At 37.7% G+C, this 27,733-nt stretch overlaps 1 protein-coding gene across 4 annotated transcripts in view; it reads left to right on the top strand.

Moving 5' to 3' along the window:
- VIRMA (vir like m6A methyltransferase associated) overlaps positions 1-27,733 on the top strand; it is a 65,781-nt gene that overhangs the window by 32,754 nt on the left and 5,294 nt on the right. For 3 of the 4 annotated variants that reach the window (NM_015496.5, XM_047421677.1, XM_047421678.1), the window contains 12 exons: positions 1,240-1,731; positions 2,774-2,928; positions 5,765-5,847; positions 8,627-8,720; positions 8,987-9,531; positions 10,064-10,299; positions 10,776-11,028; positions 13,999-14,216; positions 21,210-21,342; positions 24,236-24,388; positions 24,825-24,985; positions 25,760-25,856. In NM_015496.5, coding sequence (NP_056311.2) covers positions 1,240-1,731; positions 2,774-2,928; positions 5,765-5,847; positions 8,627-8,720; positions 8,987-9,531; positions 10,064-10,299; positions 10,776-11,028; positions 13,999-14,216; positions 21,210-21,342; positions 24,236-24,388; positions 24,825-24,985; positions 25,760-25,856 — 2,620 coding nt within the window. Of the gene's footprint in view, positions 1-1,239; positions 1,732-2,773; positions 2,929-5,764; positions 5,848-8,626; positions 8,721-8,986; positions 9,739-10,063; positions 10,300-10,775; positions 11,029-13,998; positions 14,217-21,209; positions 21,343-24,235; positions 24,389-24,824; positions 24,986-25,759; positions 25,857-27,733 lie in introns of those variants that run through there. The other variant, NM_183009.3, reaches the window with a different exon arrangement.

The raw sequence follows: 27,733 nt of genomic DNA, 5'->3' as shown, positions 1-27,733 counted from the left end.
CAGTCTCTGATATAAAATATAAAATGATGTAGTATTTGCATATAACCTATGCATATCCTCTTGTATACTTGAAGTCATGTCTAGATTACTTATAATACATAGTACAATATAAATGCTCTGTAAATAGTTGTTATACTATTATTGTGTAGGGAATGATGTAAGAAAAAAGTCTGTACATGGTCAGTACAGATACATTCTTTTCTGTCTTTTTTTTTTGAGACAGAGTCTTGCTCTTTCACCTAGCCCAGGCTGGAGTGCGGTGGCATGATCTTGGCTTTCTGCAGCCTCAACCTCCTGGGCTTAAGCGATCCTCCCACCTCAGCCTCCCAAGTAGCTGGGACTACAGGCATGGGCCACCATGGCCAGCTAATTAAAAAATTTTTTTAGAGACAGGGTCTCACTATATTGCTCAAGGCTGGTGTGAAATTACTGCGCTCAAGTGATCCTCCAGCCTCAGCCTCCCAGAGTGCTGGGATTACAGGTGTGAGCCACCACAGCCAGCCCAGGCTTTTTTTTTTTTTTTTTTTTTTGATGCAGGGTCTCACTCAGGTTGGAGTGCAGTGGAGCAATCATGGCTCACCGCAGCATTGACCTCCCTGGGCTCAGCCTCTTCAGTAGCTGAGACTACAGACATGCGCCACCACGCCTGGCTAATTTTTGTATTTTTTGTAGAGACAGGTTTTTGCCATGTTGCCCAGGCTGGTCTTGAGCTCCTGGCCTAAAGTGATCTGCCTGCCTCGGCCTCCCAAAGTGCTTGGGATTGTAAGTGTGACCAACTGCACCTGGCATCAGATGCACTTTTAAAAAATATTTTCGATTTGCAGTTGGCTTAATCCACAAATGCAGATGCGGAGTGCTGACTGTATATACTATATTTTTCCTAGATACATGAATTTAAATATACCAATATGCCATGAATAAAGTAGGACCATGGTGAAAAAGGAGCATTTGATAAGTGTCCTGGAAAGAAGGCCCAAAATTTAAAGAAAAGCTTGTCAATAATTATTTATTTAACATCTGTTGAGTGCTAACTAGGACAAAGCCTCACAGAACATTCACTCTTATTTGGCCTCATCTAGAGAAGACTTGCCACTCACATTATGTTTTCAGTTAAAGCAGTATATTACTGAGGATAAGGATTATGGTCATTAAAAATTTTTATCAGTGTCTTGTCTGAATATTGAGTAAATGAAGAATGCTTTGCACTGACTTGACATGTATCAATTAACTCTTCCACAGATATCTTCACAGTCATCACTTCTTGGAGTTGGTTACCTTGCTTCTGTCAATTCCAGTAACAAGTGCTCACCCTGGTGTGCTGCAAGCCACAAAAGATGTTTTGAAGTTTCTTGCACAGTCACAGAAGGGTCTTCTTTTTTTTATGTCGGAATATGAAGCAACAAATTTATTGATCCGAGCTCTGTGTCACTTTTATGATCAAGATGAGGAGGAAGGTCTCCAATCTGATGGTGTTATTGATGATGCATTTGCCTTGTGGCTACAGGACTCAACACAGACATTGCAATGTATTACAGAACTGTTCAGCCATTTTCAGCGTTGTACAGCCAGTGAAGAAACAGACCATTCAGATCTCTTGGGAACCCTGCACAATCTTTATTTGATTACTTTTAATCCTGTGGGAAGATCAGCTGTTGGCCATGTTTTTAGTCTGGAGAAAAATCTCCAAAGTCTTATTACTCTAATGGAGTACTATTCCAAAGAAGCCTTGGGGTAATTTCCTACTTACTCCTTAAATTTTCTATGATGTTAGAAAATCAGATTAACTAATGGTCTAGTTTCTTAAAAGAAGGTGTTATTTTGAGAGGGAAAAACTATAGTTTTGATATAACACAAAACTTGTTAATTAAAGGTTAGAGTGACAGAAATCTCTAAAATATAAGATGTGGCTATAAAGTAATACAGTGGACTCTTTAGCACCTTCCTTCAGTTAACCCATGGTGTTAAAGATTGCAACTGTAGTACCCCCTGCTGTTTTATGCAGAGGGGAATTCTAAGGCACAGGAATACGTACCTTAAGGTATATATTCCTTTTATTCCTCTTACACTTTCTTGCTGGCTCCTGCCCTTGCATTCTAAACCATGCTCTGGATTCAGAATTGCTTTGACTAGATGGGTAAATTGAGAATGATAATGGTTTGAAGAGCCTTCTTGGTAAGGCAGAGGGTTTTATTATATGAGAAGAAAGACATGCCTTATTTCTGGTTCATGTCACACAAGGCAAATGGCATCCAGATAACTGCCCTCACTATGAGGACTGGGTGTATAACTCCTTGAGTGACAGATCTTTTGTGGGGTGCTTATGAAAAGCAAACAGCAATGACTTTCATGCCTAGCTGTATCTTAACAGGTTTATAGTGGAATACTGAGTGTTGAAGGCAGGTGATCATACTCGTTCCTATTTATCCAGATTGGACAAATATTTTGAAGGAGACTAATGAAGTATACTTCCTAACCTTTCATTACTAATGAAGTATACTTGTTAATATTTCATTGTTTTTCTGATCTTATTTCTTAATAGAATTTTACTTTCCATGGTGATATGTATGCTTTTTTATATACTTTTAAGTAAAGTAATGGTTTCAGGTGAATTGGATATGAACTGTAAAATCTGATTTCTTGTCTTCAGACAGTTAGTCATGTTTTATTGTAAATGTCCTTGATCTCTTTAAAGCCAAGTAGAAGAAAATTTTTAAAAATTGTTCCTAAAAAATTGTTTTTGTATCCAAAACTTAAAAACCTTATTTTGTTTCAGTGATTCCAAATCTAAGAAGTCAGTAGCTTATAATTACGCATGCATACTTATTTTGGTGGTGGTTCAGTCTTCCAGTGATGTTCAAATGCTAGAACAACATGCAGCATCTCTCTTGAAGCTTTGTAAAGCAGATGAAAATAATGCTAAATTGCAAGGTATGGTACTTAAAGTTATTTTAAGCATTTGTAATATGTGAAGGAACAAACCTTTGAATATCTGTAATTAGTCCTTCATCATGTTTCGATAATATACCTAGTAATACTGTTTTTAACTTCCTGAAATTACTTTTTATGAAGACAGTTTATAAAAACTAAAGGTTGATAAAATGTTTTAGTATATAAACAAAATAGTTTTTACAAGTACCTTTTCTGGAAAGTCATGAAAATTGGTGGTTTGTTGAAATTTCTAATCAAAATGGAAGAGTTTAAAGACAAACTCAAGGCCGGGTGCGGTGGCTCATGCCTGTAATCCCAGCACTTTGGGAGGCCAAGGCGGGTGGATCACCTGAGGTCAGGAGTTCAAGACCAGCGTGACCAACAAGGTGAAACTCCATCTCTACTAATAATACAAAAATTAGCTGGGCGTGCTGGCACACGCCTGTGGTTCCAGCTACTCGGGAGGCTGAGGCAAGAGAATTGCTTGAACCTGGGAGGTGGAGGTTGCACTGAGCCAAGATTGCACCACTGTGCTCCAGCCTGGGCAACAGAGCAAGACTCCATCTCAAAAAAAAGACTCAAAAGTTTAGTTTTGGGTATAGTTTTCCTTTGTGTGTTTTGCTGTGTATGTATTTCTACATAAAACACAAACTACAACTTAGAAATCTAGTTGTGGAGTAACACATTTGTGCTATCCTCAAAAGTAAATAATAGTAAATATGAATATTATTTTTTAAAGTATATAAATGTGTATCGAATGACATTTATGGGAAACCTTATGTGGGCAGCCTTGACAAGTTTAATATACCTAATCATAAGTTTTAAATTATTTTATTTTGGTTCCTCGTTTTCTGACCTTATCAAGTAGAAAATTTGATAACGTTGAGTAAATATTGTAAAAATGCTTTAAAATAGCATGTGGCCTCTTCTTTTCTTTTTAATCCTAAATTTTACTTGTGATAGCTCCAGTAAAAGTTGGGTAGTAAACTCAACTTCCCATTCTGGGAATAGATTTTTTTCCTGAAGAATGCGTTTATAAAAGGAGGGCACACAGTGTCTTCAAAGGTATTATTAGTGCTTTAGTACTTTTTCTGGGTGTTGGGTATTCTGGTATTTGTTTTATTATTATTTCTTATATCTTTGAGCTATATATTCTATATATAAGAAAGATTTAATTTTAAAATGCATGGGGAAAATTGTACAGCTGTAATTCTGGTGGAGGAGTGTAGAACCAAGGAAAGACCTGGCTACTATTTTCTATTTCCTATATGGCATCTGGAACTGGTATTTCACTTTTTACATTGGAGTGCTTTTCTAGAAACATTTTTGGTGATAGAATATAGGAGTTATGGTATAGCTTCTGGGAGAGTTTTGAGTTTGTTTGCAGTAAATGGCAGATTGTATTTGTGTTTATTCTATAAACAAAGTTTGCTGTCATTCTTTTGGGGTGATAGTAATTTTATAAAGGCAAATTTGGAAGTTGACAGAATTAAAATTTCATGTTAGAGGAAAAGGCACTCAGCAAAATATCTCCCCTTGGGTTTCATTCCTTTAGAAATTAATAAATTTTGTTTATACTTTTTTTGGGTGGGTGTGAGAGGCAGTGGCAGAGATAGGTGAATAAACACTATGTTACATTAATTTATAAGCAGTCTATTTTGTAGGTATGTACATTTTTTTTGAGACAGAGTCTCGCACCGTCTCCAGGCTGGAGTGTAGTGGTGTGATCTCGGCTCACTGCAACTTCCTCCTCCCGGGTTCAAGTGATTCTTCTGCCTCAGCCTCCCTAGTAGCTGGGACTACAGGTGCGTGCTACCATGCCCAGCTAGTTTTTGTATTTCTAGTAGGGACTAAAGTAGGGATGGGGTTTCACCATGCTGGCCAGGATGGTCTCCATCTGTCGATCTCGTGATCCACCCGCCTCAGCCTCCCAAAGTGCTGGTATTACAGGCGTGAGTCACCACGCCCAGCCCTATTTTGTAATTTTTTAATGTTGTAAATTGTTATAAAAATTCATTTTAATTATATAGACTATTTAAGCATGTAAACATCTAAATTTGCATAAACCAGATAACTAAGAGTAGGCATTTCTTTCATTTTAAAACTAAATTGTTTAAGCTGGGCGCGGTGGCTCACACTTGTAATTCCAGCACTTTGGGAGGCTGAGGTAGGTGGATCACTTGAACCCAGGAGTTTGAGACCAGACTGGGCAACATGGTGAAACCCCATCTCTACAAAAAATACAAAAATTAGCCAGATGTGGTAATGCACGCCTGTAGTCCTAGCTACTTTGGAGGTTGAAGCAGGAGGATTGATTGAGTTGAGGAAGCTGAGACTGCAGTGAGCCGTGATCACACTGTTGCACTTCAGCCTGGGCAACAGAATGAAAAACTTGTTTAAAGAATTAGATACAAGTTGTAATCCCAGCACTTTGGGAGGCTGAGGCGGGCGGATCACGAGGTCAGAAGTTCGAGACCAGCCTGGCCAACGTGGTGAAACCCCGTCTCTGCTAAAAATACAAAAATCGGCCAGGTGTGGTGGCAGGCGCCTGTAATCCCAGCTACTCGGGAGGCTGAGGCAGGAGAATTGCTTGCATCTAGAAGGCAGAGGTTGCAGTGAGCCGAGATTACGCCCTTTGTACTCCAGCCTGTGCAACAAGAGCGAAACTCCGTCTCAAAAAAAAAAAAAAGAATTAGATGCATGTCCATCCCTGCATGAAGTTTAGATGATTGAAATCAACATGGACCTAATAATGATTTTCTTTGGAAAAAATATTTACTTTCTTTGTTATAAAGCCTTCTATTTTTAAATATTATAAATTATTTTTCTTTTTAAGAACTTGGCAAGTGGCTTGAACCTCTGAAAAACCTTAGATTTGAAATTAACTGCATCCCAAACTTAATTGAGTATGTTAAGCAGGTAAGTGTAAAACTTAAAAGTGCTTTGACTTTTTGAAACTGTGTGGTAGTACATGGTGATACTGCATTGAATCACTTGTGTAGATAATGTAGACATTGTTAAGTGTCCTTGATTGATTTATTAGACTTTGTAGGTACAGGTTGGTATATGCATATAGATGGACGTGCGATTATATGCATATGTGAACACACGTGCACATAACCCTGTGTACTGTACTACTTTTCACTACTGGATTCTGTCCTATTTTTTCCCTCTGAAATGGAAATAGTATCACCTACCATCTTGATGACATTTATAAGTGTTTTAAATGCTGTAGTCATGTAACATATAACTGTTTAGCTAAACTTTAATTTCTGAAAAAGAATTTCACTCAAAATATTTAGGTGAAAATTGATAGGGCCCATTCCAGATAATTGCAGTGGAGGCAAGTTCTCTTTGTTAATTTGGTATGGTTGAATCTGCAGTTGAAATAATTCATAACAGTTAAAATTCCTAAGACTCATAATGCAGTTTTAAAATTTTATATTCAATTTAAATAATTCATAATGAAAAAAATTACAGCAGTGTTTATTAGTCTTGGAAGTTTTTTCATCTCTGTTCCTTAGTCGAGCCATCGTGTAGCATAGGAAGAAGGTTAGAAGCACTCATATACACATAAAAAGTTCAAGTTAGAAGAGCAGAATGGACCTTGAATTATCTCTCTCATTTCGCAGGTGAAATCTGTGCGTGAGTGTGTGCGCACACGCATGCATGCACGTGTGTTTGCGTGTGTGTGTGTGAGAGAGAGAGAGTATATAAGCCATCTTGGTTTTGGAATTGCAGTGTATATTATTAAAATAATTTTTGTATATTGTTTAATTTGTTGCTGTTGGGACCCACAGCAAAGTGTTTTTTGGGTTTATCTGCTTCAGATTTTTCTTTACTGATTTCTCTGCCTTTGTCTTCTTGTACTCCAACTCTCCTAAGAGTACTTTTACTTCCTATGGTGCCATCATATTCTTCCGTGTTCTTACTCTGAGCCTCAAATGACATCTAGAACTTTTCATTACATTTTCTTTTATTTAGGAGAAGTACAATTAATATCCTGTAAATTTAGATGGTCATGTATTCTGGGTACTTGTGCATGGTTGAGTGAGTATTAACAAGATGTTCAATAAATGGCGATGGTTTGAGTAAAATTATTTAATCAGTAAGAAATTTAGTTCTAGAAATGTGAATTACATGCTGTAGTTAAGAGTTGATTTTTATGTAAATCTTTATCCCATTAATTATGATATTATAAGTGGTTCTCATCCCAACATGGTCTATAAAAAGTTGATCCAAGACTGAAACTTCACTCTGTGTCTCCCTGCTGCCTTATGTAATTTGTGGAATTACAAGGAAAAGGATTAGAATAAAAGAAAAGCTAAAATGAGGTAGTAACTTTTTTTTTTTTTTTTTTTTGGTCTAGACTCTACTATGAGCTAAGAGATAGTAACGTTTTTTGAATGTTATTTCTTCCAAGGTTTTTTTGTTTTGTTTTGTTTTGTTTTGAGATGGAGTCTTGCTCTGTCGCCCAGGCTGGAGTGCAGTGGCTCAATCTCAGCTCACTGCAACTTCCATCTTCCAGATTCAAGCAATTCCCTGCCTCAGCCTCCCAAGTAGCTGGGATTACAGGCACGTGCTACCACGCTTGGCTAATTTTTGTATTTTTAGTAGAGACAAGGTTCCACAATGTTGGCCAGGCTGTTTTCAAACTCCCAACCTCAGGTGATCCACCCGCCATGGCCTCCCAAAGTGCTGTGATTACAGGCATGAGCCACCACACCCAGCCCCAAGTTTTTAAACAATTGATAATGCTGTTCTGTGAAAGCTAAGAAAACTGAAACATAACTATTTGTTACCTAGAAACATAGCATAGGCAGGTGCTAAGGACATAGGCAATTGTATTTGTTTTTCCTCTAACCTGTGCCCCACCTGGCTACAATACTAGACTCTGTTGGTATCTGCATTTAAAAAAATGTATGCCATGTAGGCCAGAAACATTCCTTGCTGCTTCCTCACTTTTGAATGAAGTTTAGTACTCAAAGCGCTTTTTATTTTTATTTTTTTTGAGACAGGGTTTCACTGTGTCACCCAGGCTGGAGTGCAATGGCACAATCACAGTTTACTCTAGTCTTGACCTCCCAGGCTAAAATGATCCTTCCACCTCAGCCTCCTGAGTAGCTGGGACTATAGGCACGCACCGTCATGCCTGGCTGATTTTTTAATATTTTGTAGAGGCAGGGTCTCACTATGTTGCCCAGGTTGGTCTCTAACTCCTGGGCTCAAGCAATCCTTCCACCTCAACCTCTCAGAGTGCTGGAATTATAGGTGTGAGCCACTGCACTCAGCCTCCACAGGACTTTTTAAATATAGTCATTGCTTCATTTTTGGCAGAGAAGATGTATGAAAAGAGTATATAGAAAGTAGCCATTGTAAACTCTTAATACAGGGAGTTTCATACATTTCTTTATGTTATCTTTGTTCTAGTTGATTCTTTTCAGTGAATTTGTGCATTACAGTTCTTTTTATTTACATAATATTGTATATAGTACAACATATGCCAGAGATCAAATAATCTTGATAAATTCATTTAACTCTAGGGCCTTGTTCATGTTTTAAATTTACTTAATAAATATAAAATATTGTATGTTCTTAACTTGAAGCTCATATTTTCAAGTAATTCCTTGTCTGGAATTTTCTGTTGATCTCATGGGTACTAAGAAACGAAATATTCTGTTCATTTTCATTTTTAAAGAATATCGATAACTTGATGACCCCAGAAGGAGTTGGCCTTACCACTGCCTTACGTGTTCTCTGTAATGTTGCATGCCCACCACCTCCTGTTGAAGGTAATGTGGCTACTGTATTTTAAAAACTACGATTCTTAAGCCTAGAATAAATATCATTTATTAAATATTTAGTTAATTATTAAACATCATTTATTTAATAATGAAAAATATCATTTTAAATTAAAGTAATTAAATATTTGTCATAATAAAAATCATTTATTATAAATATAATTATCATAAATATTAAATATTCACTTTAATAATTCTTAATCAGTTATTAACATATAAGTAATTAGTTTTGTTTCTTTTTCTTATCCTATATAAAGGTCAACAGAAAGATCTGAAATGGAATCTTGCCGTTATTCAGCTTTTTTCTGCTGAAGGAATGGACACGTTTATTCGAGTTCTGCAAAAATTGAACAGTATTCTGACTCAGCCTTGGAGGCTCCATGTCAACATGGGGACTACCCTTCACAGAGTTACTACTATTTCAATGGCTCGCTGCACACTCACTCTTCTTAAAACTATGTTAACGGAACTCCTGAGAGGTGGATCCTTTGAGTTTAAGGACATGCGTGTTCCTTCAGCGCTTGTTACTTTACATATGCTCCTGTGCTCTATCCCCCTCTCAGGTCGTTTGGATAGTGATGAACAGAAAATTCAGAATGATATCATTGATATTTTACTGACTTTTACACAAGGAGTTAATGAAAAACTCACAATCTCAGAAGAGACTCTGGCCAATAATACTTGGTCTTTAATGTTAAAAGAAGTTCTTTCTTCAATCTTGAAGGTTCCTGAAGGATTTTTTTCTGGACTCATACTCCTTTCAGAGCTGCTGCCTCTTCCATTGCCCATGCAAACAACTCAGGTATCACTTCCATATAACATGCATCTTATAAATGACTGCAGTAACACTTTTTAAAAAGCCAGTGATTTTGTTAAAAAACAAAAACCCTCATCTCCCTTCCTCCCAAAAAGACATAAAATAACCGGATGAGGGGGAGATAAAACTGAAACAAGTTGGTCATTGAGGAAATATGGGGGTAACATTTTAAATAAATTTTTGTTAAAGTGAGTTTTATTTTGCTGTTATGTATGTTTGTACTTACATTTTTCTGTTATTTTAAATCCTTTCCCCCACACCTTACCATGTGTTAGAATTTGCCAATAACTAGATTGCTTCACCAATGGACTCTGCTCAACTAACTGCTAACCTGAGAACAATAAGATTTTTTAGACTCATTGAATTCAAGCAAATGTTTAACTGTATAATAGAAAATTAAATGTTTTAAGCATGCAGTAAAAATGTTCTTTTCATAACATTTCTTCCTGAACAGTTTTTGTGACTATAAATAAATATTAAAAAATCTACGTACACACACATTATACTTTTTTAACAGGTTATTGAGCCACATGATATATCAGTGGCACTCAACACCCGAAAATTGTGGAGCATGCACCTTCATGTTCAAGCAAAGTTGCTCCAAGAAATAGTTCGCTCTTTCTCTGGCACAACCTGCCAGCCCATTCAACATATGTTACGGCGTATTTGTGTTCAATTGTGTGACCTTGCCTCACCAACTGCACTTCTGATTATGAGAACTGTGTTGGATTTGATTGTAGAAGACTTGCAAAGGTATTTTCATTTTGCATTAAAAATTTTTTCCTCAAATTATTTTTGACACATATATTTTTTCCCTTACAATTTGGAAACTAGGGTTTGGAATGCCCAGATAACATATATACATGTAAATATACACATATACCTACATATGCACACATATGAATATATGAATACTTGTAGACTTTTAAAATTAGAAAGCTTTATTTCATCATTTCATGTGCAAGATATCTTGAAGGTCTTGATTTGGGATTTTCAAATGGTGAATCCTAAAGAAGTACTCTGATTTAAGAAAATATATTATTAGAAACCTGAATTTATAAAATTTTTGCAGTCATTGTAAAATTCCAGAGAATTTGTCATTATACCCAAGGAATTAAATGTTTTATGCAAAATTTGTGTAAGTTGATGTGTATTGAGAAATAAATACTAGTTAAACAATGCCTTAAGGTCAAGAACTTTGTTTACTAAATGTATCGATTTTATTTCAGCACTTCAGAAGATAAAGAAAAACAGTATACTAGCCAAACCACCAGGTTGCTTGCTCTTCTTGATGCTCTGGCTTCACACAAAGCTTGTAAATTAGCTATTTTGCATCTAATTAATGGAACTATTAAAGGTGATGAAAGATATGCAGAGATATTCCAGGATCTTTTAGCTTTGGTGCGGTCTCCTGGAGACAGTGTTATTCGCCAACAGTGTGTTGAATATGTCACATCCATTTTGCAGTCTCTCTGTGATCAGGTATTTATAGTTATTTTATAAAGTCTCTCTCTGCATGTGTATGTGTGTGTGTGTGTGTGTGTATTTAAGCATCTTGATGTAAATTTTGGCTGTGAATGAACAGCTGTCATCTATGTTTTATTATTCCTGCTGTTGTTCATGGGTTCTCTGAAGAGCTTTTTTCTTTCCTTTATAAGATCATAACCTTGGGTAATTGCTTTATGTGCCAGTGTTTCCGTATTTTTTAGGGTCTAATTCATTTTCCTTCCAATTACGTTACACACCAAGTCATTCTTTTTTTTTTTTTGAGATGGGGTCTCATTCTGTCGCCCAGGCTGGAGTGCAATGGCGTGATCTCAGCTCACTGCAGCCTCTGCCCCACTGGGTTCAAGTGATTCTCCTGCCTCAGCCTCCTGAGTAGCTGGGATTACAGGCACACACCACCACACCTGGCTAATTTTTGTATTTTTAGTAGAGACAGGGTTTCACCGTGTTGGTCAGGCTGGTCTTGAACTCCTGACCTCAGGTGATCCACCTGCCTCGGCCTCCCAAAGTGCTGGGATTACAGACGAGAGCCACCATGCCTGGCTACACCAAGTCATTCTTAAATTTCATAGCTTGGTTGAATTAATATGTTCTCTTGTTGGGGCAATCTTTGAAGGCTACTACACTTTTAGTGTGTTTCAGACTACTTTGCTTATAGATGTTGGCTAAAGTAGTAGTATTTTTTCCTGTTGTCTGTATTATTGACTTCCAGTTTATAGTTTCATGGGTTAATGAGAATTGTTTTAGCTTTTAAAGCCCATTATGATTGAGATCTTTGGAGATTTCTATGCCTAATGGCATTTTAGCTTGTCAGAATGCTCTTGCTAAGTGGTCATCAAATGTGATTTTTTTTTTTCAGGCAGAATAGAGTCCCATGTTGGAAGACTGTCTTTTTCTACCTTAACAAATATTCAGTTTGGTTACATTTAAGACTCAGGTCAAGAAAGAACTTTTTTTTTTTTTTGTATGACTTGTTTTCACAAAGAAGGGGACCTGGTAGAAAGGGTATTCTAAGTCCTTGTACCTCAAAGTGTCCATTTGGTTGGTATTTCTTGTATAATCCACTTTGGGTTGCATGACTACATTGAATAGCGCTGTGGCATCCTAGCTGCCTTGGTCACACGAATCTCATTGATGGCCTCACTTTGCTGTGTTTTCCTTCTGATTCGAGCCTTGTTGTATAGTTTAAGCCAAGTTGAATACGAGTTTGCAGTATATTGAAGTAATTAAAGATGATAAAACATAATGAAAAATGCTCTTGTAAAATTTAGTTTACTTCTGGCCGGGCATGGTAGCTCACGCCTGTAATCCTAGCACTTTGGGAAGCTGAGATGGGTGGATCACGAGATCAGGAGTTTGAGACCAGCCTGGCCAATATGGTGAAACCCCATCTCTACTACAAAAAAACTAGCTGGGCGTGGTGGCATGCATCTGTAGTCCCAGCTACTTGGGAGGCAGAGGCAGGAGAATTGCTTGAATCTCATAGTAGGCCTAGGTTGCAATGAGCCGAGATTGCGCCACTGCACTCCTGGGCAATAGAGGGAGACTTCGTCTCAAAAAAAAATTCAGTTTACTTCTATAAAGAGTAGCAGGAGTTTTTAGAGTTATCATTAGCTAAACTTGCTTAGCATTGGAAAACTTGAATTTAGAAGTATATATATATACTTATATATATACACATATATACATATATACACATATGTATATACATATATACACATATACACATATGTACATACATATATACACATACATATATACATATATATACATATATACATGTATATATATAAAGTAGAGGGAAATATTTGATTGAAAGACTGTGTTTAAATGTTCATCTCCTCTATCCATCCAACTTTCTGATATTTTAAATTGCAGGGGGCTTTTTGTTTTTTTGTTTGTTTGTTTTTGAGATGGAGTCTGGCTCTGTTGCCCAGACTGGAGTGCAGTGGCACAGTCTTGGCTCAGTGCAACCTCCGCCTCCTGGGTTCAAGTGATTCTTCTGCCTCAGCCTCCCAGTAGTTGGGATTACATGTGTGTGCCACCATGCTTGGCTAATTTTTGTATTTTTGGTAGAGAGGGTGTTTCACCATGTTGGCCAGGCTCGTCTTGAACTCCTGGCCTCAGGTAATCCACTTGCCTTGGCCTCTGAAAGTGCTGGGATTACAGGTGTGAGCCACTGTGCCGAGCCTTAAATTGCAGTATTAATGTATATTAAACTTTATTTCTGGCTGGGCACAGTGGCTCATGCCTGTAATCCCAGCACTTTGGGAGGCCGAGGCAGGTGGATCACCTGAGGTCAGGAGTTCAAGACCAGCCTGACCAACATGGAGAAACCCCGTCTATACTAAAAATACAAAATTAGCCGGGTGTGGTGCTGCATTCCTATAATCCCAGCTACTCGGGAGGCTGAGGCAGGAGAATTGCTTGAACCTGGGAGGCGAAGGTTGCAGTGAGCCGAGATCATGCCATTGTACTCCAGCCTGGGCAACAAGAGTGAAACTCCGTCTCAAAAAAAAAAAAAAAGAAAAACTTTATTTCTCTGAAAAGTTTCTTTATAAACCAAAAAAGATACAAATGAATAAATAATACAGTAAGTTAATTATTTTAGTACAAAATACTTTTTACCTTTAACCTATTGAAAACAGAAACTATACTTACTGCAATACTGAAAGAAAAAAAATTTGAAAGATGTTGTTTTAAAGTAAAAGTAAATCAAAATATTTAAATATTTATTCCTTTAGGTGTGTATCCTTGTATTAACTTTTTTAAAAGGGAAAAGTAATTTCATTATTCTTAATGTGTTTATATGTTTGGGATGGGACAGTAGCAACAATATTTTAATGAGATAGTTATTGAATATTAATTGCTATGTATTTCTCAAAAGTGCTAAGTGATGGTGATAATTATTTAAAAAATCGATTTTTTTTTCCCTGCTCCCCACAGGACATTGCACTTATCTTACCAAGCTCTTCTGAAGGTTCTATTTCTGAACTGGAGCAGCTCTCCAATTCTCTACCAAATAAAGAATTGATGACCTCAATCTGTGACTGTCTGTTGGCTACGCTAGCTAACTCTGAGAGCAGTTACAACTGTTTACTGACATGTGTCAGAACAATGATGTTTCTTGCAGAGCATGATTATGGATTATTTCATTTAAAAAGGTAATGATTTGTCTAATTTAATATACTCTCAGATTTAATTTTTTCATTCTGTCACTGCTCCTTCACCCCACATTAATTCATACCTATTGTAGAAAGTTGAAGAAATGATTTCTTTCGTGGGAGAAATTTTGTGTGTATGGAAAAGATTAATTAGCAATGAAAGGTCATGCTAATAATAGAATCTTTTGGATTAAAGATATAAAATGAATAGATACACAAATTACTGTGGGCATGGTACAGTATCTGGAAGGAAATCTCACTGTTCCAGGGATGGTAATTCATGCCTTAAGGTCTTTGTTTCGTTGTTGTATCCTCAGAAGTGATGGATGCTAGAGGGATTTTATAGACCTTAAAGCTAAAATGCAGATTCTGTGTACAGTTCCTCAGTATCTATGGGGAATTGGATACCAAAATCTACAGATGCTCAAGTCCATTATATAAAACGGTACAGTATTTCTCTTGTATACTTGAAATCACCTTAGATTACTTATAATACCTAATAATACAGTGTGAATGTTATGTAAATAATTTTTTGCTGTATCTTAAAATTTGTATTTTTTTATTCATATTGTTATTTATTTATTTATAATATTTTCATTCCATGGTTGGTGGAATCCGTGGATGCAGAATCCATGGGTATGGAGAGCTGACCATATTTTGTTTTCTAGAGGAATGGCTGGGACAAAATTAATCTGAAATTATATAAATAGCTGAGCATGGTGGCTCATACCTATAATTTCAGCACTTCAAGAGACTGAGGTGGGAGGATCACTTGAGCCCAGTAGTTCAAGAGTTCAAGTTTAGCCTGGGCAACATAGGGAGACTTATCTCTATAAAAAAAATTTACAAATTAGTTGGGCATGATGGCACACACCTGTAGTCCCAACTACTTGGGAAGCTGAGGTGGGAGGATTGCTTGAGCCTGGGAGGTCAAGGCTGCAGTGATCATGCCGCTGCAGTGATCATGCCACTGCAGTCTAGTCGGGGCAACAGAGGGAGACCTTGTCTCAAAAAAAAAGAAAAAGAAATGATATAAACCTCAGACTGCTCACTGTCTCAAGTATAATTTCTACTCTAATTTTTCTGCCGATGCCCTGATGTTTTTATTTGCTGGGAGAAGGAAGAGGGAAGATACCTGGCTAGTACTTATATTTATTAAACTACATGGGATTATGAGATAGTAAGGAGGAGGAAACATACTTTTGCCTCTTTCTCATTAATTCTTGCAGCATTGGTTGAAAACTTACATTGCAGGTACTGTGTTTGGTGCTGGCTCTTCCTTTCTGCATCTCCTTGTCCTGATGTACCTGCATCTTCTGTATTCGCTCTCAGTTGATGGCACCTGCTTCACATCCATTCCTCATGCTCTGCCCCCATCCAGTCTCTCACCAAAGCCTTTAACCTTTTTCCTATTGCCAAGATATTTACTCCATGTCCTTTGAAACTCACCTCATACACTGCACTTCCAAAAAAGCCAAAAAGCTTTCCTAGTTGGGTTAGGTACTCCCACAAAGATTTTTTGTACACCTGTGCTATCGTATTATCTATGATTTTGTTGGGTTTCCTAGACTTAATGTTTCTGGTCCTTTTTTCTTATCTGTAACCTTGTCCTAAGTCCTCTTAACCTATTCCCTTTTTCCCTTTTAGCCCTTATCTCTCTGCTAAGCTCCAAGTAACCCATTAATCTACTTGACATTTCTACTTGACTATCTAATGGCATCTCATTAAGTCCTGTGGATTATTTCTCCAAAATACATCCTGAATCTGATCCCTCTTCTCCACCTCTGTAGCTATTACCTTTATCCAGGCCACTATCATTTCTTGCATAGCCCATTGCAATAGCCTCCTAATTGGTCTCCTTGCTTCCACCATTTGGCTCTCTAAAATTCGTTCTCTCAGAAGCCAAAGTAATCTTTTAAAACTTAAAACCGGATTTCTGCTGAAATCCTTCTAATGGTTTCCTATTGTACCTCAATTAAAATCCAAACTCTCTATAATGATCTGTAAGGCTCACCAGGATATTAAAAACCCTTGAACAAAGATGAAGACCTGAAAGAGGTGAGGAACAAAACATGGTAATATCCTGGGGAGAACAATTGCAAAAGCATGCTTCATATGTCTGAGAAACAGCTCTGAGGCCACAGTGAGAGCCCTCAGAGTGAGCAAGGAGAAAAATGATAGGATGTCTGGTTATGGAGGTAATGGGGGTACAGAATGGGAGAAAGATCATCAAGGGCCTTTAGGCTTATGATACGGGCCATTGTCAGGTTTTAAGCAGAGATACAGCATGACCTGGGTTTTTTTTTTTTTAATTTTATTTTTTGTTGAGATGGAGTCTTGCTCTATCGCCCGGGTTGGAGTGCAGTGGCACAATCTCAGCTCACAGCAACCTCTGCCACCCGGGTTCATGTGATTCCCCTGCCTCAGCCTCCCAAGTAGCTGGGACTACAGGCATGCACCACCACACCCAGTTAATTTTTTGAATTTTTAGTAGAGAGCGGGTTTCACCATGTTGGCCAGGCTGGTCTTGAACTCCTGACCTCAGGTGATCCTCCTGCCTTGGCCTCACAAAGTGTTGGAATTACAGATGTGAGCCACTGTGCCCAACCTGTTTTTTTTTTGTTTTTTTGGTTTTTTTAAATTAACAGGTCACCATATACTTTTTCTTATATAGTCCTGTGGCAGGTTACACTTTTTTAAAAAGTTTTTTTGGAGATAATTTTAGACTTTCAGAAGAATTGCAAAAATAATAGTGTAGTGTTCAGGTGTGCCCTTCACCCACCTTACACTTGTATTATCCTCTTACATAACTGTATAATACTTACCAAAACTAAGAAATTAATGTTGTCATACTACTATTAACTAACATACAGATTTTATTTGAATTTTCTATTACTATGTTTTTTCCTGTTCCAGGATCCAATGTAAGATCTTACATTGCATTGCATCCTTTGTCTCCCCTTTCCTTATCTTTCATGACCTTGACATTTTTGGAGAGTACTGCTCACTTGTTTTGTAGAATGTCCCTCAATTTGAGTTTGTCTGATATTTTCTCATAATTAGATTGACATTATTCTTTGTTGATAGGGATATTACAGAGGCAATGTGCCTTTTTCAGTGCATCATATAAGGAAATACATGATGTTTCTATATATTACTGATGATACTGACCTTGATCACTTGGCTGAAGTGCTATCTTCTAGGATTCTGCACTGAAAACTTATTAATTTCCCATTTTTAATTACTAAATATTTTGGAGACTATACTTTGAGATATTATGATATCCACATATCCTATTTATGCCAAAAACTTTCATCCACCATTTTTAGTATCTGTCAGTGTAGATCTTGGCAAGATATGGCAGTTATTACTGTGGTGGTGTAATGGTGATTTTCTATTCCCTTCATTCCTTTTTACTTACTAATTTTCCTTCCATAAGGAAGAGTTGTTGCTTCTCCTGCATTGGTTTATCCAGATATTTATATCAGTGTGAATTCATAGACATTAATTTTTTTCATTGTATATAATTCAATACTATCCTTACTTATTTTGTTGTTCATCTTATTCCAACTCTGGCCACTAGGGATCTTTCAGGTTGGCTTCTGTGCCCTTTTCATATGCTCTTGACTTTTTTAATTTATATATTTGTAAAATTTTACTTTAAGTTCTGGGATACATGTGCAGAACGTTCCGGTTTGTTACATAGCTCTGACTTAAAAAAAAATTTTTTAAGTACTTCCTATTGCTAGTACTACAAGGTGTTCCAGGATCAGCTTGTATTTTCCCTGTTCCAGCCAAGATGGACTTGTTCTCCAAGGAGCCCCTGGTTCCTTTTATTGGAGAATATTTAGAAACCAGGATCTGGGCTCTGGGTGTGTTTATTGCTCTTAGGATGTCACTGATTTTGGTGTGTCTCATTGGATAGAGCTGGGAAATATACGTATGTGTCCTAATTCATCACACATTTACATACATTTACTTTCTTTTTACATTTTATCTACATAAAACAGATACATATTTTAAAATTAATTTATTTAAATATTAAAAGTTTTAATTATAAAATTTATTTTAAAACAATAAATTTATTAATTTATATATATGTTTTTGAGAAAATTAATTCATACTAATACTTGGTGGGTGTTTTTGTCTGTTTGTTTGTTTTGAGATAGGGTCTAACTCTGTTGCCTAGGCTGGAGTGCAGTGGCATGATCTCGGCTCACTGCAGCCTTCGCCTCCCGGGCTCAAGCACTTCTCCTGATCCTCCTTCATTTGCATGAAAAAGACATTTCATGCAACTTAAAAAAGACAAAGAGGGATATTATATAATAATAAAAGGCCTTGTCCAATAGGAAAATATTACAATCCTAAACATATATGCACCTAACACTGGAGCTTTGAAATTTATAAAACAATTAATCATAGACCTAAGAAATAAGATAGACAGCAACACGATAATAGTGGGGGACCTCAATACTCCACTGAAAGCATTAGAGAGGTCATCAAGATAGAAACTCAACAAAGAAACAATAGATTTGAACTATACCTTGGAACAAACGGACTTAACAGTTAGATACAGAACATTCCATCCAACAACCACAGAATATACATTCTACTGAATAGTGCATGGAAATTTCGTGCACTGCCTCAACCTTCCAAGTACTACTACAGGCACAAGCCACCATGCCTGGCTAATTTTTGTATCTTTTGTAGAGCCGGGGTTTCAGCTGGTGCCCAGGCTGGTCTCGAACTCCTGGGCTCAAGTGATCCACCTGTCTCTGCCTTCCAAAATGCTGGGATTATAGGTGTGAGCCACCACACCTGGCCCATACTAATACTTTGACTTTGATCCAGTACCAGAAGTGAATTCTAGCCTTTTCCCTTTCTTGATTATTTTATTCTCTAACAGTGAGAAATTCAGCTCTCATTATCTATATTTGCTTATTTGTTTAGCCCTAGTTTACAAATGAAGTAGCAGTCTCAAACTCATTACTAAACCATACTCCTGTGGGAAACAAATTGAGCAATCGGAGTACAGTGTTGTATATGGTTCTTTTTGTCTTTAGCCTTAGTGTATCCAGTCAAAAAACTGTTTTTCAGTTATTTATGTCAGCTTATTTCTTCCCTGTCTCCTTCAGTTTGGTTATATGGTTCATTTGTAATATAGTTAGATTCATTGGTCATAGTCTGCATTCTTATTTTTTCCCTCATATCCTTATTGGTTGTTTTTTTTTTTTTTTTTTTTTTGAGATGGAATCTCGCACTGTCCCCTGGGCTGGAGTGCAATGGTGCGATCTCGGCTCACTGCAACCTGCGCCTCCTGGGTTCAAGTGATTCTCCTGCCTCAGCCTCCCGAGTAGCTGGGATTACAGGCGCCTGCCACCATGCCTGGCTAATTTTTTGTATATATTTTGTTTTTTTAGTGGAGACAGGGTTTCACTATGTTGGCCAGGCTGGTCTCGAACTCCTGACTTCGTGATCCACCTGCCTCGGCCTCCCAAAGTGCTGGGATTACAGTCATGAGCCACTGCGCCCAACCCCTTGTTGATTTTTTAAAAAATTATATCTAGTCAAATTTATGTTTTATGGTGTACAGTTCTATGTGTTTTGACAGATGCTTAGAGTCATGTAGTTCTTATCGGTGACTAATTTTCTAGCAATCTGGGTTGTTTTCAAATTTTGGTGGTTATGAATAAAGCTTTGCACACAGGTTTTTGTGTGAATCTCAGTTTTCATTTCTCTTGGGTAGACACTTAGGAGTGGGGTTACTGGGTTGTATGATAGGTGTGTGTGTTTAACCTTAAAAGAAACTACCGGAGACTCCGTCTCAAAAAAAAAAAAAAAAAAGAAACTACCGAACTGTTTTCCAAAGTAGAGATACCATTTTTCATTCCCACTAGCAGTGTATTAGAGCCCCAGTTGCTCCTCATCCTCCCCAGAACTTGGTATTGCAAGTTTTTAAATGTTAGGCATTCTAATAGGTCCCCAGCTTTTGATAGACCACGGAAGTATGACTCACTTAAAGATTGTGTGTAGTGGTTAGTAATGGGTGTAGTCCAATTTTGAACCCATGCTTTTTCCATTAACATTTTTATTTTTGAATTTAATCTATTTCTCTTTGTTGTTGCCCAGGCCTAGTGCAGTGGCACAATCTCGGCTCACTGCAACCTCCGTCTCCTGGGTTCAAGTGATTCTCCTGCCTCAGCCTCCCCAGTAGCTGGGATTACAGGCGTGCACCACTACGCCTGGCAAATTTTTTATATTTTTAGTAGAGACGGGATTTTACTGTGTTAGCCAGGATGGTCTTGATCTCCTGACCTCGTGATCTGCCCGCCTCGACCTCCCAAAGTGCTGGGGTTACAGGTGTGAGCCACCGCGCCTGGCCAAAAGGTTTATAAATAGGGAACTGGCAAGTTTTCTGTGTTAAGTTTTTTTTTTTTTTTTTTTTTTGAGATGAAGCCTCACTCTGTCCTTCAAGCTGGAGTGCAGTGGCGTGATTTCGGCTCGCTGCAACCTCTGCCTCCCAATCGTTTAAGTGATTCTTCTGCCTCACCTCCTCCCGAGTAGCTGGGATTGCAGGTGTGTGCTGCCACCCCCCGTTAATTTTTGTATTTTTTTTTAGTAGAGACCGGGTTACCCTATGTTGGCCAGGCTGCTCTTAAACTCCTGACCTCAAGTGATCCACCACCTTCGGCCTCCCAAAGCGCCCGGATTACAGGCGTGAGCCACCACACCCAGCCTCTTGTGTTAAATTTTATAAAATGATTATTTGGGGGAATTTTTTTTTAAGATCTTGAAGCTTAGCTTTAAAAGGAGTTGGTAACTATTGACGGTTCTTTGTTATATTTGTGTACAAAGACACACCAAAGTACTTCTTAGCATTTTTAAAAATGATGGAGTAAGTTTTATTCTGTCTGAAGTGAGTTCATTTATCATACCAGTTTTATATGCTCATATTTTAAGATAATATCTTCTCTTTATTTTCTTTATTTACAGTTCTTTAAGGAAAAACAGTAGTGCTCTGCATAGTTTACTGAAACGAGTGGTCAGCACATTTAGTAAGGACACAGGAGAGCTTGCATCTTCATTTTTAGAATTTATGAGACAAATTCTTAACTCTGACACAATTGTAAGTATGTGTGTGTTTGTGTTTGTGTATATATGTATGTATGTATTTGGTGTTTCTTAAATTTGAAATCTTTGGCCAAGTACGATGGCTCACATCTGTAATCTCAGCACTCTGGTGGGCTGAGGTGGGAGGATCTCTTGGGGCCAGGAGTTTGAGACCAGCCTGGGCAAAATAGTGAGACCCTGTCTTGAAAAAAAGAGAAATACTTTGCCGTAAGTTAAATCACTTTATATATTAAATATCCAACATAAAAAAGATCACTTTAGTTCATTTTATTTTATTTTATTTTATTTTAGATAGAGTCTCACTCTGTCATCCAGACTGGAGTGCAGTAGCACAATCTCGGCTCACTGCAACCTCCACATACTGGGTTCAAGTGATTCTCCTGCCTCAGTCTCCTGAGTAGCTGGGATTACAGGCACCTGCCGCCATGCCCAGCTAATTTTTTGTACCTTTTTAGTAGAGATGGGATTTCACCATGTTGGCCAGGCTGGTCTTGAACTCCTGATCTTAGGTGATCTGCCCACCTCGGCCTCCCAAAGTGCTGGGATTACAGGCATGAGCTACCGCACCTGGCCAAGTGCTTTCATTTTAAAATAATTCTTAGATGAGTGTGGTGGCACGTGCCTCTAATCCCATCACTTTGGGAGGCTGTGGTAGGATCGCTTGAGCCCAGGAGTTTGAGATCAACCTGTACAACACAGCAAAACTCTGTCTCTAGAAACAACAAAAATTAGCCACACGTGGTGTGCCCACCAGTAGTCCCATCTATTTGAGAGGCTAAGATTGGAGGATAGCTTGAGTCCAGGAGTTGGAGACTGAACTTAGCTATGATTGTGTCACTGCAGTCTAGTCTAGGTGACAGAGCAAGACGCTGTCTCAAAAAAGAAAAAAATTTATGACATTGAGTTACCTTGCTAGGGCAACTCAGAATAATGAAGTTTTGTTAGTCTCTTTGTTATTTACTTATTTTTGTTACTTAATTTACTGATTGTTTTGGATGTTGTGATTTTGGGATAACTGTAAAGTTTATTATGCTTTAGTATTTTTGGTCTATCGTACAAATATGAATTAAAGATTATTTTCCCCACTCTAAAATCTTATTGTTAAAATTTAATTAAGATTTCTCTCATTAGTATTTTCCAAAGTCATGGTATATTATGAGCACAATTCCAGAAGCCATTAATATGCCTGCCTTACTTAGTTTGGTGGCATGTGCCTCTAGTCCCAGCTGCTCAGGAGGCGGAGTTGGGGAAATCACTTGAACCTATGAGTTCAAGGTTGCAGTGAGCTATGATCGTGCCAGTGTATTTCAGCTTGGATGAAAGAGTGAGACTCTCTTTCTCTCCCTGTTTTTTTCCTGAGACGAGGTCTCACTCTGGTGCCCAGGCTGGAGTGCAGTGGTGTGATCATGGCTCACTGCAGCCTTGACTTCCTTAGGCTCAGGTGATCCTTCCACCTCAGCCTCCTGAGTAGCTGGGACTATAGATGTGCACCATCACACCCGGCTAATTTTTGTATTTTTAGTAGAGATGGGATTTTGCCATGTTGCCCAGGCTGGTCTTGAACTCCTGGGCTCAAGCAATCCACCTGCCTCAGCCCCCAAAAGTGCTGGGATTAGAGGCATGAGCCACCATGCCTGGCCAACTCGTCTCTTAAAATAAGAAAAATAGGCCGGGCATGGTGGCTCACTCCTGTAATCCTAGCACTTTGGGAGGCCAAGGTGGGTGGATCACTCGAGGTCAGGAGTTCGAAACCAGCCTGGCCAACATGGTGAAACCTCGTCTCTACTAAAAATACAAAAAATTAGCTGGGCTTGGTGGTGGATGCCTGTATCCCAGTGCTTGAACCCCGGAGGCAGAGGTTGCAGTGAGCTGAGATTGCGCCATTGCACTCCAGCCTGGGCAACAAAGTGCGACTCCATCTCAAAAAAAAGAAAAAAAAAGAAAAAGAAAGAAAGAAAGAAAAACAGGTTAGGCAAGGTGGCTCACACTTGTAATCTCAGCATTTTGGGAGGTTGAGGTGGGAGGATTGCTTGAGCCCAGGATTTGAGATTAGCCTAGGTAACATAGTGAGACCCCATCTATATGAAAAATTTTAAATTACCTGGGCATGGTGGCACGTGCTTGCAGTCAGTCCCAGGTACTTGGGAGGATGAGATGCAAGGATCACTTGATCCTGGGGAGGTCAAGGCTGCAGTGAGCTATGATTGTGCCACTGCACTGCAGCCTAGGTGACATAGCGAGACCCTGTCTCAACAGCAACAAAAAAACAAGGCTAAAGATTTTATACAATGTTTAGGTAGGCATACGGCCCTCTACCATAAGTGTATGTGACAATATGGATGGTTTTCTTATCATGAAGCAAGATTTATTTTGCTGGAAGGATTTTCTGGTATTGAAATGTTATCACTCCAGAATTCACTTTATTATGTAGCATACTTTTTAAAGCAGAAAATATTAACTTTTCTATGTGACAGAATATAGTCTTAAATATGATAGTTACTATTTTCTTTAGTTGTTTGTGTTATCTTCAGAAAGATAATTTCAGGTTTCATCAGTTCTTTGTTATAGCAAGCATTTTATTAATTCTTGAGCATCAATCAGTGTGTCACGTCCTACAACTGCCAGTGTTTTGCCATTCGGTATTTTGTTGAAAAGTCTTGGTGCCAGTAAAATATATGTTTGCTTATTTAAATATTTTGTGAGTCTTACTCAAAGAAAACATACTTCACCTTTCATCTAAATCCTTAAAACTAGCCATTTGTACTGATGTAAAAATGAAAACATTGAAGGAAAGATTGCAGCATATGGCTTAGATAATATGAATAAGTGTGGATGCATCTTTGTAAATTTCTCTGTTCTCAAATTTAACTTATGTGTGACATTTACAGGGATGCTGTGGAGATGATAATGGTCTCATGGAAGTAGAGGGAGCTCATACATCACGGACGATGAGTATTAATGCTGCAGAGTTAAAACAGCTTCTACAAAGCAAAGAAGAAAGTCCAGAAAATTTGTTCCTTGAACTAGAGAAGCTTGTTTTGGTAAAAAAGAAAAAAACAGAGCGTTCTTAAGGCCTATTTTCCTCTCAGTTTGACTAGTACAAGTATTTCGTAGTGACCTTTTTTAAAATAGTGAATCTTTAGCTGGGTGTTTGTACCATTTCAAATAACTCTTTGAATTAATAATTTGAAGTGAAGTCCTCCATCCTGTTATGAATTTTAAGGAGTACATGAAGACGGTACTTTTTGAATTGTCTGTTCCTTGGAAGCAGGGTACCCTCTGCTGCTATTGTTTAGAAATAAAATGACAAGTGTTTTGGTGTTTGTTTTATTTTAATGTGTTTAATGTTAATAATTTCTGGACAGTGTTCCAAATTTCTTAGTAATAATACATATAGCCTTTTCTACGAAAGAGTCAGTAGGTTTACAGACATAAGTTTTACCTGCACCTTCTTATTCTGCCTTTATTTGTATCTAGGAACATTCAAAAGATGATGACAATCTGGATTCTTTGTTGGACAGTGTAGTTGGACTTAAGCAGATGCTGGAGTCATCAGGTGACCCTTTACCTCTCAGTGACCAGGATGTAGAACCAGTACTTTCAGCTCCAGAATCTCTTCAGAATCTGTTTAACAATAGGTAAAATACACAATGTTTTATGATTGAATAGCTGTTGGTTTTAAAATGGCTGTAGTCTAGGGGGTGCCAGCAAACGTTTTTTTCTATAAAGGGCCAGATAGTAAGAATTCTAGGCTTTGCAGGCCATACAGCCTCTGTTGTGTATTCTTCTTTAGTTTTTTTTTTTTTTTTTTAATTTATACAAACTATGCTAGCTTGCAGGCTGTACAGAAACAAACTAGCAGATAAAATCAGGGCATTGTTTTATTTTACTGAAAGGTCAAAACTTGTTACAGCAGAATTAGTTTTCAAGTTATTTGTTTTTGAGGATACTTAATTTTTAATTGCTTTTGGGAGTTTCTTTTTTAGGTACTACTTTTAATAATACTTTAGAAAGTAATAATTTTAATTGTACCTTCCACAGATTTTACTTGAAGATAAGCTAAAAGACTGGGCATATTGGCTCACGACTATAATCCCAGCACTTCGGAAGGCTGAGGCAGGAAGATAGCTTGAGCTCAGGAGTTTGAGACTAGCCTGGGCAACATAGGGAGACCCTCTCTCTACAAAAAAATTTTTTTTAATTAGCTGGGTGTGGTGGTACACACCTGTGGTCTCAGCTACTAGGGAGGCTAAGGTGGGAGGATCACTTGAGCCCAGGAGATCAAGGCTGCAGTGAACTGTGATCGTGCCACTGCGCTCCAGCTGGGTAACAGCAAGACTGTGTCTCAAAAAAAAAAAATTGAAATTTGATTTTAGAATTCTGCTTTTCACCAGATACTTTTCTTGTTCCAGGACTGCCTATGTGCTTGCTGATGTCATGGATGATCAGTTGAAATCTATGTGGTTCACTCCATTTCAGGCTGAAGAGATAGATACAGATCTGGATTTGGTATAAATTATTACTAAATATTTAGAAAAACGTTATTGTTTTTTCTGTTTCTTTATATATTGTTAGCATTATAATAGTTTCCATATTTTATGGCTGTTAAAGTCTACTTGGAAGCAAGTCCTACATTATTTTTATGCCACTTGCCCACTTCATGGCATCCAGAAAGTTTTTTCTCCTGCTTTTTTTGCTTCTTTCTAGTTAGTGATCTGTATTTTGAGGTTGTGACTTTTTTGCTAATTTTTTTTTTTTTTTTTTTTTTTTTTTTTTTGAGACAGAGTCTCACTCTGTCACCCAGGCTGGAGTGCAGTGGCACAATCTCAGCTCACTGCAACCTCCGTTTCCCGGGTTCAAGTGATTCTTCTGCCTCAGCCTCCTGAGTAGCTGGGATTACAGGCCTGTGCCACCACGCCTGGCTAATTTTTTTGTATTTTTAGTAGAGACTGGGTTTTACCATGTTGGTCAGGCTGGTCTCAAACTCCTGACCTTGTGATCTGCCTGCCTTGGCCTCCCAGAGTGCTGAGATTACAGGCGTGAGCCACCATGCCCAGCCAAAAAAAAAATTTTTTTTTAATATAGATAAAGTCTCACTCTGTTACCCAGGCTGGTCTCACTCCTAGCCTCAAACAATCCTCTCTCTTTGGCCTCCCAAAGCGATGGGATTACAGGCGTGAGCCACCACATTTGGCCAGAGAATGTAACTTTTTTAAGGGAAAAATCACACTTTTGCATAAGTTCTATGAAGCACTTTGTTTTCTTACTTGACGGGGTATAGAACAGGGAAAAGTATCCCATAAAACAACAGTTTATTCTTGCATTTGGGTTCAAGGAGAGGAATGGTTGTGCTATGGTGTGGCTCTCAGTTTGGAAACTTGTGAAGAATGTATTTGTTATAGTATAGTATGAATGGGAATTGACATTCTTAAACATAATGCTGAATAGGTAAGAGTATAATTAACTATTTAAAATTTATTGCAGTCTGTTCTATGCTTCTCAGAGATGTGGTAAGGCGAATTATTTTAGCCACATCTTATTATACAGTACATTGTTCCTTTTCTTTATCAAAGAAACATACTGGTGTTCATCATATACAATAAAACTAAGAGAATGATTTGCTTCACATTTGTATTTAGTGTGTTGAGGGCTGCTTTTCCTTTTTTAAAAAACCACATACAATTCAATTAAAAGTGCATTAAAAATTAATTTCTTTTTAGTGCAAGCTGTTCAGTGGTTCTTTAAAACTGTCCTCTCCAGTAGAATTTTATGCAATAATGCAAATATTTTGTAGTCTGCCCTGTCCAAAACAGTAGCCTCATGTGCCTGTTGTACAATTGAAATGTGGATGACTAGGGAACTGAATTTTATTTTGATTTAATTTTGATTAATTTAGATAGGCACATGTTGTTAGTGGCTACCACGTTGGGCAGCACAGGTATAAAATATTTGTTAAAAGTTACTAATTTTTTAACTTTAAGTTGAATCACAACTGTCTTGTGATGATAATTGTAACCCTCTGGATTAGAGAAATTTTAGGTATCTTACATTTGATAAATTTGAATAAAACCTAAGTAAACTGAATGTTGATTTCCCTGAAATTAAACTTAGATGGGAACCTCATTAAATGCATAGAGCTTTTGGGAATCTGTGGCACAGAATCTTTTTGTAATAGAAATGTTGACTATATAAGGCTGGCAGAGTATGTTATTTTCAGATTCTTTTTTTGGAAAAGTTCAGGAGATATTACAGTGTTAATTTATATAGACAAATACTGAGTTTCCTGCTCAGGCATCAAAGTTCTCCTAGATTAATAGCCCTGCTTTGAAGAATGCCACACACAAAAAAAGTAGCATTACTAAGGTGTGTGTGTGTGTTTGTTTTTA

The sequence above is a fragment of the Homo sapiens genome, chromosome 8, assembly GCF_000001405.40.
Source record: "Homo sapiens chromosome 8, GRCh38.p14 Primary Assembly".
NCBI classification, from domain to species: Eukaryota; Metazoa; Chordata; class Mammalia; order Primates; family Hominidae; genus Homo; species Homo sapiens.
Note: the sequence above shows the minus strand (reverse complement) of the source record. Positions and strands in the feature narration are given on the sequence as shown.